The following is a 16880-nucleotide window of genomic DNA, read 5'->3' on the forward strand; positions in this document are numbered from 1 at the left end:
GGTCGAGATTTCAGCTGCAGTTTTAATAGTCAAACAATGAATTTGTTAACTACAAATCATTCTTGTCTACCTAAATTCAGGGAGGTCCCTGTCAGCAGAGTCCCTAGGAATTTTTTTTTTTTTTTTGGAGACAGGGTCTCACTCTGTTGCCCAGGCTGGAGTGCAGTGGTGTGAACACAGCTCACTGCAGCGTCAACCTTGTGGGCTCAAGTGATCCTCCCACCTCAGCCTCCCAAGTAGCTGGGACTATAGGTGTGCATCACCACACCTAGCTAATTTTAAATTTTTTTGTAGAAACGGTCTTGCCGTATTGCCCAGGCTGGTCTCGAATTCTCAAACTCCTGGGCTCAAGCGATCCTCCCACCTCAGCCTCCCAAAGTGTAGGGTTACAGGCGTAAGCCACAGTGCCCAGCCTTCATCCTTTTAAAATGCTTGTCTTTGGACTTGTTGCTCTAGGCCAGCCATCCCTTACCCCACCCAGTGTGGCAGTCAACATCTTCTTGTATGGGTGGGAACAGCAGATGAAGCAAATGTGGGCTTGAATCCTTACTCTGCCCTGAAGCTGTGGGCAAGTCACCTCTTCATCTGTCTAAAGCGGGGGAAATAATACCTGCTTTATGGCATAATCATAATGACCATGAGATGCCAGGTGTGAAATTATGCACAGTTGCACAGTGTCTGGCACACAGTAAGTGCATAATAAATATTAGCTATAGTAGTCACTTAATAAATCTTACCAACTTCCTCAGTCTAAGAAAGGCCATCAAAAGGAGAAGTGGTGAGGGGATGGGGGTAGAGGAAGGGTATTTGGCGTATAGAATCTCTTCCTGCGTCAGAGCACTTTTCACAGTCCCTGGGGAAAAGGGATCAGCTACCAGCCATCAGCTGAGCTTGAAGGTCATAGACAGACCTGAACATCTGGGATATGGAAAAACCTGACAGTAAAAGTAGATATGTAGGGAGGATAATACGAAATGATTCACTCACTGATGCAAACAATCATTTTGAAAATAACTAGCTGGATTCTATTAGACAACAGATTCTTAATCACTTGTTTTCTGAGTATGTGGTATCCGCTTCCACAAAATTGAATGGATGGCAGGAAGGGAGGGAGGCAGACTTCATGAAACAGGCATGTCAGAATCTGGCTTTGGAAGACGGGTTCCCCTTCACGTAGAACTGCGGATTCAAATGCTTTAGCCAAACATGTTCTTTGGCAACTGTCCACCCAGCAGCCATAAAACTGTTTCTGGGACAAATGAAGATGTTTGCGGCTGTTCTTTCTGCCCTATAAGCACAGGCAATTTGTCCATCTCACCCGCCTGGCACTGTTGGGCCCAGAGAGAAGCCTCAGCGAGGTGCTTTGAGATGGGATTTGTGGGGTGTGCATCTGCCCCCCTCCGCATGTCAGCTGGTTTCCAAGCCCCAGCCAGTCTGGTTGGGAGCCAGTGCGCCTAGGTCAGAGCCCAGAAAAACTGGCTAGACTGGTCCAGTCACTTCGTGGCTGCAGAACCAGGGAGGCAGGGCTTGTTCTAGACTGACCGCTATACTTTAGAGTCTACCCACTGGAGTTTTAAGAGGTAGTGGGGGCTATCAGGAAGCACAGTGAGAATCTTAGTTGAACCTTTGAGTGCTGGGATGTCAGGGGCTTTAGGAGAATTGGGACAATATATTGGTCATCATCCCTGGTCAGTACCAAAGCCCACAGAGCTGAAAGGCACCTGCCCAGGGTGAAAGGCTGGGACAAGTGATGGCCGCAGCATTGCCATTTCCAGTGGGGAGTGCCCTCCCTCTGTGATCCATCCACCTCTCCCTCCCTGTTTTCCCAGCCTCTTTGGCAAGGTGTGTGAAGGGCTCATTTCTAGAAAGCCCTTCCTAGCTCAGCAGAGGCCAGAGGTACCAGGCTGGGTGGGGAGCCTGTGCACAGAGACAGGGAAAAGGAGTGTGGCTGGGGGACAAGGGGCTGGGCTGGGTGGGCTGGAAAAGCAAACCGGGTCCAGGCGGGGTTTTACCCTGGGGAAAGGGCTTTAGGAGAGTCCAGGGCCATCTGAGGCACAGTCCTTACAGGTCCAGGCCCCCTGCACTGGGGACCCAACTGCACTCAGAGCACGGGCCTGGCAGGGTGCCCAAGGGCTCGCTCAGGGTGGATGATTTCACTCTTACGGAAGATGCGGAGACAGACAGACAGTGAGAGAAGCAAAAGGGGAGGGAGAAGAAAAAGACCTGCCTGCCTGCCTTGGTCATTCTTGCTTTTAACTTTCTCCCTAGCATCCAAGAGAGCCTATGCCCGGGTTCTGAGGCCAGCGGTGGCATCTCCTGGAAACTTCCTCTCTGTTTCTCACAAGAATTCCTCCACCCATCCCTATCCTGGTGCCTGGGTGCCCGAAGCCGTCCTCAGCTGTTAGGAGAGCCTTCGGCGCAGAGATGCCCCAGATGAGCTCCCGCCATGATCCCTTCCACCACCCCCAGGGCTGCTCCTCCTCCCCAGAAGCAGGGTGCAGAAGGGACAGGATCTGTTGCCTCTGTGGGCCTGTGTGTTTCTCAGTGGGCATTTTTTTCTCTCTCTCTCTTTCTCTCTCTCTCTCTCTCTCACACACACACACACACACACACACACACACACGCTGGTACCCTGGCGAGTGAGCTACTTTGCAGTGTTTGTAACACCCGCACCTGCCACCTCCCTCAGAAGCCACTGTGTGGTCACCACCTCTCCTCTGAGCATAGCCAGACCTGTACGGCAGGTGTGCAATGCCACCTCAAGGCCAGGGTTAGAGGCTGACTTCCAGAGGAGCAGCTGGGCACCTGGGGACCACGGGCTTAGCTGGGTGAGTGACTAGCAGGTTAGACAGCCTCCCCGGCATCCCTCAGCTGCCCGTGCCTGGCTGGGAGCCCGAGAGACTCAGCCACTCCTTCATCTTCCCAGACGGGTAGGGCAAGGCTGGTCCTTGGAGGGAGGCTGGTCCTTGCGTCCTGGGCTTGGTCTTGGTCTAAGCCACGCCCTTCCCCTTCCTCTTTCTGCCAACTCTGCTCCTGTCCCTTGCCTACGCCTCCCAGGTTCTTTTAAGCAGGTACACTGTTTACTGGCCAGGTGCGCCATTTACTGAGCTGCTGTTGCACTAAGGCCCACACAAGTGACCCCATTGAGTCCTCCCATCCCCTTCTAGAGGGGAAAGAACCTGATGCTCCCCTAATCTCTTGCTCCTCACTCCTGGCCCTCTGCCTGAGTCGCACTGTTCTCCTTCCTCCCCTGCCAACCCCTACCCAGCAGAATATACATATATGACACTTCTCTTACAGGAGCTTCTGCCCCCAAGTCTTTCTGTGCCAATCTTCATCTGTCATGTCCACCAAAGTCTTCCTGAACTGGCCCCACCTCCTCCTCCAGGAAGCCCTCCAGTCTAAATCTGTCTCTCACTGGTTGTTCCTTTGTTCTCACCTCATCCCGTCCCCTGGTGTGAGCCTCTAGCTCATCGTGGATCCTGGGCTGTCCCACAACATGGGGTCTTACAGCTCTTTGATGTATCCCCCCACAGGGGGCTCAAAAACACCTACTAACCAGATTCCACATGGACCCCTGGTGACCCACATCTAACCTGAGCCCTTGTTCCCACCGTAGACTATGAGCTCTGCCTAGACCAGAAAGATTCCCTTACAAAACAAAACAAAACAAAAAAATAACAAAACCTCTGTGTGCCCAGAACTTAGTCCAGAACTGTGCACACAGTAGGTGCACAGTAGATGCTGAACTAAATGGAGGGTCTCTCCCTGCTCCCACTCCCCAATGAACGTCTGTCTGAGTGTGGAAGTGCTATGGCGACAGAAGACACAAGTGGCAAGCCAGACAGATAGGTCCCTCTCTGCCTCCGCGTGTGGATTTGTGACTCAACGGCTTATCAAGGGCTACGCGGCAGCGCGGCTTAGTAACATTAAAAGATTCCAGCACTGCCCTGTGTTCCGCCTCCGGTCCCCATAGCACTGGGGGCGTTGTCCACGTGCACGCAAGGGCAGCATGTTGCTTCATGAGCGGTTCTGGACAGGGATGGTGGGAGATGTTGCTAGAGGGAATTGTGGCCCTGGGCTTAGAAACAAAGGGGCAAGAAGGTCTCAGAAGCTGGGGCCTCCAGAGAGCAGGGTCAGGGCACTCTAGCCTCCAAATGGGGACTGGGGAGGCGGCCTAGGTGGCATCCTGGGGTTCCCTCCCTGGTGCTGTCCTGGTTCTGCTGGTCATGAGGCAGGAGTAGCCAGGCAAGGCAGGGGCGCCAAGAGCACTGGCATTCCTGGTACCTTCGTGAGATCCCGTCCGTTGGCATCCCACCCCTCCAGCTCCCTGTGAGTCGGTGTGGGGGTGCAGCCTGGGGCGTCTTTTCTCTCCTGATGGCTGGGGCCTCATGGCCTGACTGTGGAAGCTGCTGCAAGGCTGTGAAATGCAGGGCAGGGGGGCCTAGGAGTGGTGGGGCTCACATGCACCCTGGAGGAAGGACCACTGTCCCTAAAGCTGACAGGGCAGGAGACCTGGGGTTGGAGCTGACTCAGCCACTTCTTGGATGGGTGACCTTAGGCAAATCACATGACCTCTCTGGACCCTTGTGTCCTCTTTACTGGACCGACCACAATGCAGAATGAAAGAGGAAATGCCTGTGCTGCTGCAAGGGGCCTGCTCCCACCAAAGGCCAGTGAGACCTGCTGTTTTCATGGGTGGGAGTCCCACCCCAGGACTCCCCTCAGAACTAAGCCCAACTATCACTCAAGACCCGCCTCCTCCATGAGGCCTTCCCTGGTGAGCCAGGCATCACACTCTGTCCTCCAGCCAAAGCAGGGCTCTCAAACCAGCTGTGGGGAAGGACCACATGGATTTTTCCAATCCATGGCCAACTGGCGTGTGGTCCTGCTGTGTAGCCTGCACCACGTGATTCACCTGGCAAGTCTGACAGCATCTGAATTGGTCTAGACCCTGTTTGACGAGATGAGTCTTGACTGCATGCTCGGATGTCACCGCAGGGATGGATTCACATGAAATGCTTACTCTCCAGTTTTGTACTTCTCAAGTTGTAGACCAGGAACCAATTGTTGGTAGGTTGGCAAACTTGACCAGTCGGACCAGTCCTCACCACCCTTTGAATAGCACGGGCCTAAAGCCCTCCTTTGGGGCCAGAATTCACTGCCTGGCCCAGATCTCTGGTTCACCCTTCACACAGCCTGCCCCTCCTGCCATGCTTCTTGCACTTGTGTGTCTCCATTGCATGGATGTGAGTGATGTAGTGGCTCTTTCTGGCAGCCAAGGCTGGGCGACGGAAGAAGGAAGAACCCTTGTCCAGGAGGAGGAAACTCTTTGGTTTACTCAGACCCCTTACCCAGTGGCGGGTTCTGAGCAGGCCCCTTCCCCCTCCTTGTCACACTCATCAATCTGCACTTGGTGACAAGGTGAGCTGAGGACCCATGATCAGTGGTCGCAGCCCCTAGTGGGGCAAGGGCAGCCTTGCTCTGTGTGGGTTCCCCAAAGCTCACAGGACTTAGCCCCATGCTGTTCTACCCCTTGTCCCCGCACTCATCCAAGGTAAAGGAATCCCACTTCTCCAGGGCCCAGGGCCCAGGACCCGGCTCTGCCTCCTGCCTCTGAGGTGCCGGCCCTGGAGAGGCTCTGGTGGAGCCTCAGCTGGGTGAGCTCAGCTCGCTGACTCTGGGAAGAGGCTGCTGTTCAAGCTCTTTCTGGGCTGCCTCATTCCTCAACTTTGGCTGCATCAGCAGGCAGACCTTCCTGCATCTCCTGTGCACCCCCTGCAGGAGGAGATCTGGAGGAGCTGACCCAGCAGGGCCAGGACAGAGTGAGTCAGGGGAAGGAGTTCCCATCTGCCCAGCTGGCCAGGAAAGGTCGTTTCCACCAGTCCGCTGCCTTCAGACTGAGGCCAGGAGGTGGGAGACTGACTGATCCAAGGTCGCACAGGGCATTCACCAAGAAGAGTGCAATCCAGGTCCTCTTCCTGCCTTGAAGGTGCCTCTCTCTTGTAATCCCACACTCTTCCCAAGGTCCACTCTACAGCCACCTTCCTCCCCTGCCCCGCCCCCATAATGGGCAGGCAGGCAAGTGTCTTCAAAGCTGGGATGGAGCATTGAAACCCTCCAACCCAGGGCTTCCCAACCTCAGCACTATTGACATTTGGGGCCAGATAATCCTTCACTGTGGGGGCTGGCCTGTGCATTTTAGGATGTTTATCAGCATTCCTGGCCTTTACCCATTAAATGCCAGTCGCACCTCCCCCTTCCTGATTATAGCAACCAAGAATATCTTCAGACATCACCAAACGTCCCCCGGGAGGCAAAATGGCCTCCAGGTGAGAATCTCTGAGCTGGCTGAGTTATCCTCACTTCTGTTGATGCTTCAGAATCACTGGAACGCATTTAAAAAACATAAGGGTCCCTGGGCTCCCCACAGGCCTATTGAACCCCAATTTTGGGGGTGAGTTGTGAGAAATGGGATTTTCTGTCTCCCAGGTCAGGTGTCAAGCACTGTCTGGAAATTCTGATTTTGTCTAAGTCACTGCCTTTACAAGCAAAGAATCAGAGGACGGGGCCGTTGCTTGTTTTATGTCTGGTTAGTCCTTATTTCTGCCCTAAATATTCCCTGTTCGGTGGGGTTTGGCGGTCCAGCAGCCCTCTTTAAACTGACCTTTGGCCTTAGAAGGCAGTCGTTTTTCCAGGAAAAACAGCCCCAAAGCCTTTAGCATTTTTAAATAAAGTAGAACCTAATTTTCAGCCACCAGTTTCACTCTTCCTTTCTGGCCCTCTTTAAATCCCTTTTAAAACGCAGCTCCATAAAGGACATCTTTTCTCTGCCGACACCGAAATCCCCCTCACTTTACACTTGTCAGAGAGCGGCTGAGCCGAGAGCACAGCTGATAGTGTCACCTGCGTAGCTGGTGTCTCTGCGGCTGTCCCCACACCTCGGCTGTGCCTCCCACCCACTCAGGGACAGTTTCCCAGTGTCTGGGAGCCACTCACAGCTAACAGCTCCCAGGGGCAGGCACTGGATCAGAACCCTGGGCTGGGCTCCCCTCTTCTGTGAGAGCCAAACAGAGCCCTTCCTGAGTCCCATCCATTGGCAGGGTCCTACTGTTGTCCGCCCCCTCGTTCCCACTGCCAGCTCTGGGGGAGCTGGGCTGCAGCCAGGAGCCAGAGTTTGAAAGGCAAAGGAAACCTGTACCTATGTGTCTTTTGGAGGATCCAGGCTTGTGATGAGGAAGAGGAGGGAAGGGAAGGCAGGCAGGGCAGGCAGGGAAACAGGCTGTGCTGCCCAGGGGCAGGAGCATGGCTCCAATCCCAGTCCCTCCAGTTACTGCAGTCAAAACCCTGGGTAAGTTACTGTCTCCGGGTGCACCAGTCTCTCGTTTGAACAGTGGGGAGATAGTAAAGGCTCTGACTTGCAGGGGTCGAGAAGGATTAAATGAAGAAATTCACAGGGCCTGGCACTGTGCAAGCCTTCAGTAAAGGCTGAAGAAAGAAAGAAGGAAGAAAGAAAGGAAGGAAAGAAGGGAGGGAGGAAAATGGAAGCCAGGGAAGACTGAGAAAGGTAGAGTGGTTAAGACAGGGAGAGAGCAAGATGGGGAGGAGAGAGGCAGGAGGCCGAGAAGGCACGGGCTACAAGAACATATCCATGAGTCAATTTGAGAGCAAATCATACAAAGACGGGGAGCAAGTGAATGCATGAGAGGCAGAAATGAAGGGAAGACAAGGAGGATGGGAGCTACGCTCCGGGCACCCCCTGCCCCCATGCTTAGCAAATCCATATCATTGACCTGGATGTACACTCCATTCCTGTAGGTGACCACTGCTGGCTTCTGGGAAAGAGTGGAGCTGGAAAGTGGGGTACATGCCCTGAGTGGGCAGGGGGCTGGGCAAGGGGCACTTCTGGGAAGAAAAGCCAAGTCAGGAAGGAAGAACGTGCAAAGTTGAGTAACAGAGTGGTGACCATTTGTGCGGCCTGCGCACCTAGTCCCATGCTGTTTTTTCTTTTTCTTTCTTTCTTTTTTTTTTTTTTTTTTTTTTTTTGAGACGGAGTCTCGCTGTGTCACCCAGGCTGGAGTGCAGTGGCACGATCTCGGCTCACTGCAAGCTCCGCCTCCCGGGTTCATGCCATTCTCCTGCCTCAGCCTCCCGAGGAGCTGGGACTACAGGCGCCCGCCACCACGCCCAGCTAGTTTTTTGTATTTTTAGTAGAGACGGGGTTTCACTGTGGTCTCAATCTCCTGACCTCATGATCCGCCCACCTCGGCCTCCCAAAGTGCTGGGATTACAGGCATGAGCCACCACGCCCGGCCCCATGCAGTTTTATATGCACCATATTGTTGAATCTCTCCAGGAGCTTTGGGATGTGAATATTTTATCCCTATCAGCCCCATTTACAGATGGGGAAAATGAGGCTTGGAGAAGTTCGGTGATTCTCCCAAGGTCACACAGGTAGGAGGGGGCAGATAAAAGATTCCAACAAGCATCTCTCCAGCCCCAAGTTTAGAGATTTGAATTTCTACTCTCCTGTACATCCTGGAGCCAGGGCATATTCAGACCTGGAAAGGAATGTAGAGAACACAGTGACCTCCCCATTTTACAGATGAGGTAACTGAGGTGGGGAGGTGACTTCTCTACCATCACGGAGCAAGTTCAGCAGAGTCAGCCCTGTGCTTCCCACCCAGAGTGCTTTTTCCTCTAGCACATCCTTCTGGAGTCCAAGGTGCGGGGCTATGGCGGGAGCAAGGAGAGGAGAGGGAGCTCCTGCTGAGCAGGAGGAATAGAGAGGAAAATGAGAAAAAGGAAACAGCCCCCTACAATCTCCTGCTGGGAATCATCATGAGACCCCATGGTCAGAGGGGGCAGAAAGTGAAAACCCATCTGTTCACTTATTCATTCAGTCATTTATTCATTCAACAAACATGTTGGGGCCTGCTCTGTATCGGGCCCCACTGAGGATACAAAAATAGCCAAACACGGGCTGGGCAGGGTGGCTCACGCCTGTAATCCCAGCACTTTGGGAGGCCGAGGTAGGTGGATCATCTGAGGTCAGGAGTTCGAGACCAGCATGGCCAACATGGCGAAACCCCATCTCTAATAAAAATATAAAAATTAGCCAGGTGTGATGGTGGGTGCCTGTAATCCCAGCTACTCAGGAGGCTGAGGCATGAGAATCTCTTTAACCCAGGAGGTAGAGGTTGCAGTGAGCCAAGATCGCGCCACTGCACTCCAGCCTGGGCGACAAGGCGAGACTCCGTCTCGGGAAAAAAAAAAAAAAAAAGCCAAACACAGGCCTTGCCTGCAGGGAGCTTACAACTCAAGCTTATAACAGTACATCTGGAACCTTGGAGGGGCGTGTGTGACTCTGGAGCTGGGGTCTCATGGCCCTTGCTGCCCTGGGGTGGGAGAGGCAGGTGACCCACTATTTCTAGCCCTGCTGCAAGGTTTTCTTAGGGGAGTAGAGGCGTGAAGTAGCAGGGAGGGCGGGCGGGGGCACCCTGAGCCGGGGCCCCAGGGAGAAAGGCCGGGGGCGGGGAACACCCAGGCTTCCCCCCTCCCTTAACTGTAGGCAGGAGATTTTCCTTTCCATTTTTTCTTCTCTGTACAACAGCAATTTAAGTTAATTAAATGTAACAATAAATTATTTCTCGCCTGCCTGGAATAATCTTTCAGTGCTCACCCACTTTGAGGGGAAGCACTGGCTCTTTGCCTTGAGATGGGAACTGGTTGTGGCTGTCACAGAAAGAGGCTGTGGGAGGAGGGCCAGGCCCGAGGCGGGATGGGGAGAAGCCTGGGCAGTCAAGAGGGCTGAGAAAGGACCCCTGGCATCTCTGTCCTCTGTGCCTAGTCTAGTTTTACTCTGGCTGGTCTCCACCTGTGGGTGGATGAGAAAAAGGTGCCCCATGAGGGTGCCCCTCTGCTGGTACACATCTTGCAAGTCTATCCCCCACTGACCCCTCCACTTGGCACTTCTGTAGCAAGAAATTCTGCAGAAACCACACAATTGCGTGTGGGGCCTGCCCTGCTCTTGTATTCAATTAGTCCGTAACTACAGATATATCCCCCGTAGGTACAGAGACGTTTCTGAAGAGTTGATTGCACTGACGCTTTATTTCTGCAAACCAGATCCCAGTATTTAAATGCAACGGCGGACCCAGCTTTTTACAGAAATCTTCATTTATGACCTCATTTCTTTTTCGCGTTTAGATTTTCTTCTCTTGCCTTTGCTTAAAATAGGCTCCACCTGAACACAGTGCAAAGCAAAGCAGAGTCAGAAGGGTCGGATATTGGGATTGTGGAGCCTGCAGGACCCCAGGACCCAGGACCTTGGCCAGCAGATGGAAAGTGTGGGCTGGGGCCCTTGCCTCTGGGGTCACCAGGTACATCTTCGATCTTGGCCACACTGGAGAGTCAAGGGCTTCTCTGGGCCCCGAGTCAGGGTCCGCCAGAGTCTCCCAGGCCAGGGAAGGCAACAAGGCCTGGTTTCACTCTGACCTGCTGAACCGCCTCCGTGGAACAGGTGACTGTCGGCTGTCTCGCTGGGATGATGAGGGTGACAAGCTGGGATAATTCACTGCTCAGGAACCTGCCATGGTGCTCCAGGCCGACTGGATCCATCTCAACCCAGTGTCTGAGGCCCTCCGCAGGCAGCCTGCCACACCCCTACAAGCTCAGGACCCTCCCCTTGCCGGGAAGGCCCTCTCCCTCCCTCTGACAGCCACGTCCACTCTGCCCCGACCTCCAGCTCACCTCCTCCAGGAAGCCTGCCCTCATGGCCATGGTGCTGACCCCATCTGAAACTCCATGGTCCCCCTGCCCTCAGTCTGTGCCTCATCTTGCCATCGTCATGTATGTGTGTGTCTGTCTGTCCTTCCCCATCTCTTCTGAGTTCCTTTCCTTTTTTCCAAATCATGTACTTAGTCCTGGACTCTTTGAATGAAGGATCCCAGACCACCAAGGGGGTTGGAGACACCACTCAATCCAGTGGATTTCAAACCTAAAAAGCAACTTACCTTTTAAATGGAAAAACTCCTTCCCAAAGCAAGGCTTCCTGAGAAGGCAGAAGGACCTGGCGGAAGATGAGGAGAGGCCAGGTCCAGCCTGCGGGGCCTCCCCCAGGGCCCGGAAGGGACATCAGGAAAGCTGCTCCAGGCCAGCCCTCTGCAGTGGAGGTGCATTCTGGGGCCCAGAACAGCCAAGCTGGGCTGATGACCCTGCCGATGCTTGTAGGGACTTTATATTGCAGATGCAGGTCTCCTGGTTCCCCACAAATGGTCCATCTCCCAGTGAAGTGGGTAAGAAAGACCACATTGCCCCCACTTCACAGATGAGGATGTTGAGTCTCAGAGGAGTCAGGTGACTCACCGAAAGCCACACAGCCAGTGACAGGACTGCCTTGGGGCTCAGCAGAAGGGCGAGGGACCGTGTTGAAGGATGGCTGTCCAGCTGTGGCTCTGCCGAAGGCCAGTGCGGTCCCTGACCCCTGGGGGCTCTGGGGACTCTCCCAAGCTGAGCATCAGTGCTAGCTGTGAAAGGAGAGAGAAAACAGGCTCCCTTTTCCCTGTTCCCCAGGAACTTGTAGGAACCAGGCCTGAGATGCCTCAGCTGCCTCCAGGCCACCCCTCCCTCCCTCCAGTGGCCTTCAGGACCCTCCCCAAAAGGTTAATTACCGAATCATCACATCAAAGGAAATTGCACTTTTGTGCCTTAAAGACCAAACTGAGCTTCAACAACACGGTTATTTATGGTCTCTGATAAGCATTTTCTGGGTGTGATTAACCTTTGTACCAAAATCACACTGGGAATTGGGATGGCAGCTTCATTCCAGCCCCATTCTGTGCTGGCCCTGGGGGTGGGGGTGTGGGTAGCAGCTGCTGCAGGCTGGAGCAGGCCATGTCAGAACCTGGCCCTCCACCCCCTCCACAGGCTCCTGCACCACCTTCCTCCCCACTGCCCATCCCTTCTTCCAAGGCGCTGTCTTGACCTGCGCCTGGCCAGCCAGAAGGCGCGACTGTCTTCATGGTTCATCTCCTTGAAAGACAGCAGGAGCACCTGCTTACTGAATCCCAGCTCCTAAAAACAGTTATGTGACATTGGGTACATCAACTACCCCAGACTTAAAATGGGAGCATGATACCCGCCCAGTCTGCTTTCCCTTCCATCCCAGGGACCCACTAGATCTTTGGAAAATCCTTTTACGCGATGCTATAATTGAGCCGCACGCACCCTTGGCCTCAGACTTTAACCTTGAAGGTTTGGCTCTTTGGTGAGTGGAGAGATTTGTAGCTCAGCTGCAAGTTTTATTTGGAGCCTTGGGGCTGCCAGGCTGTGCACGGAAGTGAGGCATTAGCCAGTGAGTGAACCTCGTGCTCTGCCAGCTTCAGCTTCAGTGCCGTTTTGATTTTCTCTACTAGTTGGAAGATAGTAAATCACATGAAGTCTTGAAAACTTGGTTCTGAAAGGAGCGCCAGTGGCTGGGACTGGTGATGGAGTGGAGGAGCAAGAGGCATCTGAGAAAGGCCAAAAGCACTTTGGTTTGATTTCAGAGAAGATGACATGTTCAGTTCACCCCATTTACCATATGCTTCGACTGTAGTTCCCACTGTTTCAGGGTGCTAGTTGTTGGTGAGAAGTGGAGGAAGCCAAGAACCCTCCCCGGGAAAATGGTTTTCATCACACACACCAACTGCATTTATTTGCAAATCTTCACACTGCCCGCTCCCCAGGTTAAGAATTCTCCGTGTTTTTTTTTTTGTTTGTTTTGTTTTTTGTTGTTTTAGCCCAGCATGGTGGCTCACTCCTGTAATCCCAGCACTTTGGGAGGCCGAGGCGGGCTGATCACTTGAAGTCAGGAGTTTGAGACCAGCCTGGCCAACAGGGTGAAACCTCATCTCTACTGAAAACACAAAACTTAGCTGGGCATGGTGGTGCAGGCCTGTAATCCCAGCTACTTGGGAGGCTGAGGCAGGAGAATTGCTTGAACCCAGGAGACAGAGGTTGGAGTGAGCGGAGGTCGCACCACTGCACTCTAGCCTGGGCGACAGAGCAAGACTGTCTCAAAAAACAAACAAACAAAAAAATTCTCCATTTTAAGGGCAAACAAACAACATCCTTGAAACTTTGGGGGCCTGTTCCTGCCAGTGCAGTAATTGCCTATTGATGGAGATAGAAAACCACAGTGGAGCTTGAAGAGGAGATCAGCGGATGGTGAAGAGGAGATCAGCGGATGGTGGGAGGAAAAATGCAGGAAATCTCTGGACTTTTCATGGAAGTATGATTCAGGAATAAGGCAGAAGCCCTCACAAACCTTCCACAGAGCAAGAGGTGGCACAGGCACAGATTCTGCTACAGAGCAGACCTTTCCAGAGAGGAAAGGTTGGTTTGGGAATTTTAAGAAGCATTTTTCTTTGCATAACGCAACACCAGTCCTCTGTGTTTAGAAAATGCCTGTGTGAACCATCACATTCAAGAGAGGGACACAAGTGTCAGGGTTCTAGGCAGCCAAGGGAAGACTAGCCCTTTGCCTGGAATTTGGCTTCATTTTCTGACGAATCAAGATTTGCTCTGCTCCTCTGTGCACGCCAGGACATTAAGATGCGAGAATAAGAACTTATAGCCTGTATATTTGCCATCTAATTAGTGTCTTGGGTCCTAAGTGCTTTGTGCCGAGGTGGTTTTCGTGCACTTAGGCTGGTCTAAGTGCTCTACTTGTGAGCCTCACGGGCACAGGGTCCAGTGAGTGTACAGAGTGCACTGGGAAAAGGGGTACATTGGAGGGAGAACTGAGCTGCTTTGCTTTGGAGAGTTGGGCAGGTACTACTAAGCAGACGGGCCCTGGAACTGGCCTCTGAAGAATGCAGAGTTGACCAGGTGACCAGGGGTGGGGGGTGGCACAGACTGCATGGGCAGAGGGTTGCAGACATGAGAAGGATCCCAGATACTGGGAGATAATAAGTAATTGGATGGAAATAGAACGTGATGTGCCTTCAAGGTGGGGGATATGAAAGACCGGAGCACGAAGCACAGCTTAAGGATTAGATGGATAAGTGGAATGTCAGGCAATGGGGCTGATATTGTCAAATAGGATGCCTCCAGTTTCTTTTCTTTCTTTTTTATTTATTTTATTTATTTATTTATTTTGAGATGGAATCTTGCTCTGTTGCCCAGGCTGGAGTGCAATGGCGTGATCTCGGCTCACTGCAACCTCCACCTCCTGGGTTCAAGCAATTCTCCTGCCTCAGCCTCCTGAGTAGCTGGGATTACAGGCATGCCACCATGCCCAGCTAATTTTTGTATTTTTAGTAGAGATGGGGGTTTCACCCTATTGGCCAGGCTGGTCTCAAACTCCCGACCTCAGGTGATCCGCCTGCCTTGGCCTCCCAAAGTGCTGGGATTACAGGCGTGAGCCACTGCACCTGGCCAGTGTCTCCAGTTTCTTTAATTTGCCTGTGGCTGAGCTGGCTCTGGGAGCCCTAGTTTGAGAGAGAGAGTGCGTGTGTGTGTGTGTGTGTGCGTGCGCGTGCGCGTGTGTGCATGTGTGTGTGTTGGGAGGTGGCGTGGGCAGATGTGGGGTGGGAAACGAGGAGTGATGATTTCTAGTCCCCTTCTAGAAGGGGCCTCTGGCCCTAGCATCTGAACTGCCCCTCTCCGGGGACAGAGCCGAGCCTGGGTCCTTGCTGATTGCTGAGCGGGCAGTGCAGCTTTGTCATGAGGACACTTTGCTTTCTGCTTAGCTGGCAAGAGCCACCGGCTGGCCTGGTGGCCTCCTCCTCTCTCTACTTCTGCATTTTCACTTGGAAAATGAGGGTAAAGATATTTCTCCATCTCTCTGGAGACTGTGAAGTTTAATTACTGATTAATAAAGTGTTGGAAGTTCCTTGAGGCCAGAGAGATGAATGGGTTTGTTATCATCACTCCTGAGTCCCAGGCGCGAGTTGGCTAACCCCAGTGCCATCTTGCTGAGTGTCCCGTGTGCAGAGCACAGGATGGGGGTGTGAGGCTGGGGTTATGCTTCAGAACCTGGAGCTTGGTCCAGGGCAGAGAGACCCCTATGAGAGTATCAGCAAGGGAATGGAGTGAACAAAACCACTACAAACTCAGGCACTACCGACTCGGGGGACCATGTGGGTGAGTCATGGGTAGTGGGGACCAGGCTCTGACGAGGAGTGGGCACTCTTCCCCTGGACCTTGGAATGTGGGTGGGAGAGAGGGGAGCAGAGTCTGCCTTCATCATCGGGACAGGACTGGGAGGGAGTGGGTACCGTGAAAGGGGGTGGCCCTGGTGGGGTGGGGTGAGATAAGGGAGAACATTCCCGGCAGGTGAACATGGAAAAGGCAGGTCAGTTTGCTTCTAAGGACAGGGAGAAGGTCCTGAGATCCGAAAAGGGTGAGTGGAGAGGAGTCCAGGGAAGAGAGGATGGACACCCCTGAAGGATATGGGGCAGGCAGGGAAGGAGGGATGGCGTCTGGCTTGGGAAGATGGCGCATGAGTGGGGCCCGACTGGAGTGAAGCAAGTGAGGCATTTCCTCAAACCTCAGTAATCGCAATAGATAATTTTTTTTTTTTTTGAGATAGAGTATTACTCTATCGCCCAGGCTGGAGTGCAGTGGCGTGATCTCGGCTCACTACAACCTCAACCTCCCGGGTTCATGCAATTCTCCTGCCTCAGCCTCCCGAATAGCTGGGATTACAGGTGCCTGCCACCATACCTGGCTAATTTTTGTATTTTTAGTAGAGACGGGGCTTCACCATGTTGGCCAGGCTGGTCTTGAACTGCTGACCTCGTGATCTGGCCTCCCAAAGTGCTGGGATTACAGGCATGAGCCACTGCACCCGGCCATGATAGATAATATTTTAATATCATTACTGACTTTTTCCCTTTTTGCCCCAAGCTCCAACATGGCCCAGCACTGTTACTGAGCCTATCTTTCCTTTAAAAAGTTTTTGATATTTTGCTCATCATGGATTTTTTGGCGTTAATCTTTATTTTAAAAAAATAATTATGTTAAAATATTCCGTATCTTGACGACTAAGATTTTCGATGCTCCCTTCACTTTTGCACTCACCACGTGGAGTCCCGGCCCCTTGTGAGAAGGCTGCGTGCTGCCTGGGCTGGCCACCGACCTGCTTCTAGCCTACACCCTAGAAGTCTTTGCTCACCAAGGGACTTGACAAGCCCCTACCTCTCTCCCGATCTTATTTTCCTGCTGTGAAATCCCAAGCTGGCTTCCAGAGCTAAGGGTCTGTGTCTGAGGCTCTGTAGTGAAATTTGCAGTTGGTACAGAAATGGGCTGGGGCTGAGACACCTGGCCATGGGGTTGGGGGCCTCAGAAGGAGCAGACCCCAAGAAGAAACAGCAGAGAAGTGATGAAGAGAGCAGCCTCCCATGAGGCCTCTTGGGCTTCAGGCTCACCACCCTGTCTGGGAACTCTGCTGGTGGCCGGGCACCCAGCTCCCCACAGCCAGAGGGGAGGACCGGTTACAATGCTCCCCTCTCCCTGCCCCTCACTCATGCTTCTTAACCCCTTTTGAATCAAATCCCAGGGGAAACAGCCACCTCTCCTCCAACAACTAAATAAAAACCACTAAGTTCAGATCAGTTAACATATCCTTCTTGAGTGCCTATTGTATACCAGAAACACAATGTCATTCATTCATTTCTTCAGCAAAATTGAGTGCAATGAACAAAATCCCTGCCCCTACAGAGCATGCAGGGCTATTTAAAGGACTTCAATATACATACATCATGTAAGCTTAAAGGGGGTGGGACAGTTAGACCCATTTTTACAGGTGAGGACACTGAGGCACACAGAGGTCAAGTCCCCTGCCCATGGCAACACAGCGTAACGGGGGGCTAGACACTCGGCCTCTCTCTTGA

The 16880-nt window shown here is 52.9% G+C and overlaps 2 protein-coding genes across 8 annotated transcripts in view, besides 1 other annotated feature; both read left to right on the forward strand.

The window, feature by feature from the left end:
* Positions 1 to 16880, forward strand: part of LINC02210-CRHR1 (LINC02210-CRHR1 readthrough) — a 215483-nt gene that overhangs the window by 168917 nt on the left and 29686 nt on the right. The gene's annotated exons all lie outside the window — the stretch shown is intronic.
* The window catches only part of CRHR1 (corticotropin releasing hormone receptor 1), a 51509-nt gene that overhangs the window by 4943 nt on the left and 29686 nt on the right, over positions 1 to 16880 (forward strand). The window lies entirely within an intron of this gene.
* Positions 2805 to 3305: an enhancer, noted in NCBI's record as "H3K4me1 hESC enhancer chr17:43869433-43869933 (GRCh37/hg19 assembly coordinates)". NCBI's record gives its function as "activates a minimal SCP1, AML or CMV promoter by ChIP-STARR-seq in naive H9 embryonic stem cells {active_cell/tissue: H9 hESC(naive)}" and the evidence as "EXISTENCE:reporter gene assay evidence [ECO:0000049][PMID:30033119]".

The sequence above is a fragment of the Homo sapiens genome, chromosome 17, assembly GCF_000001405.40.
Source record: "Homo sapiens chromosome 17, GRCh38.p14 Primary Assembly".
Classification (NCBI taxonomy): domain Eukaryota; kingdom Metazoa; phylum Chordata; class Mammalia; order Primates; family Hominidae; genus Homo; species Homo sapiens.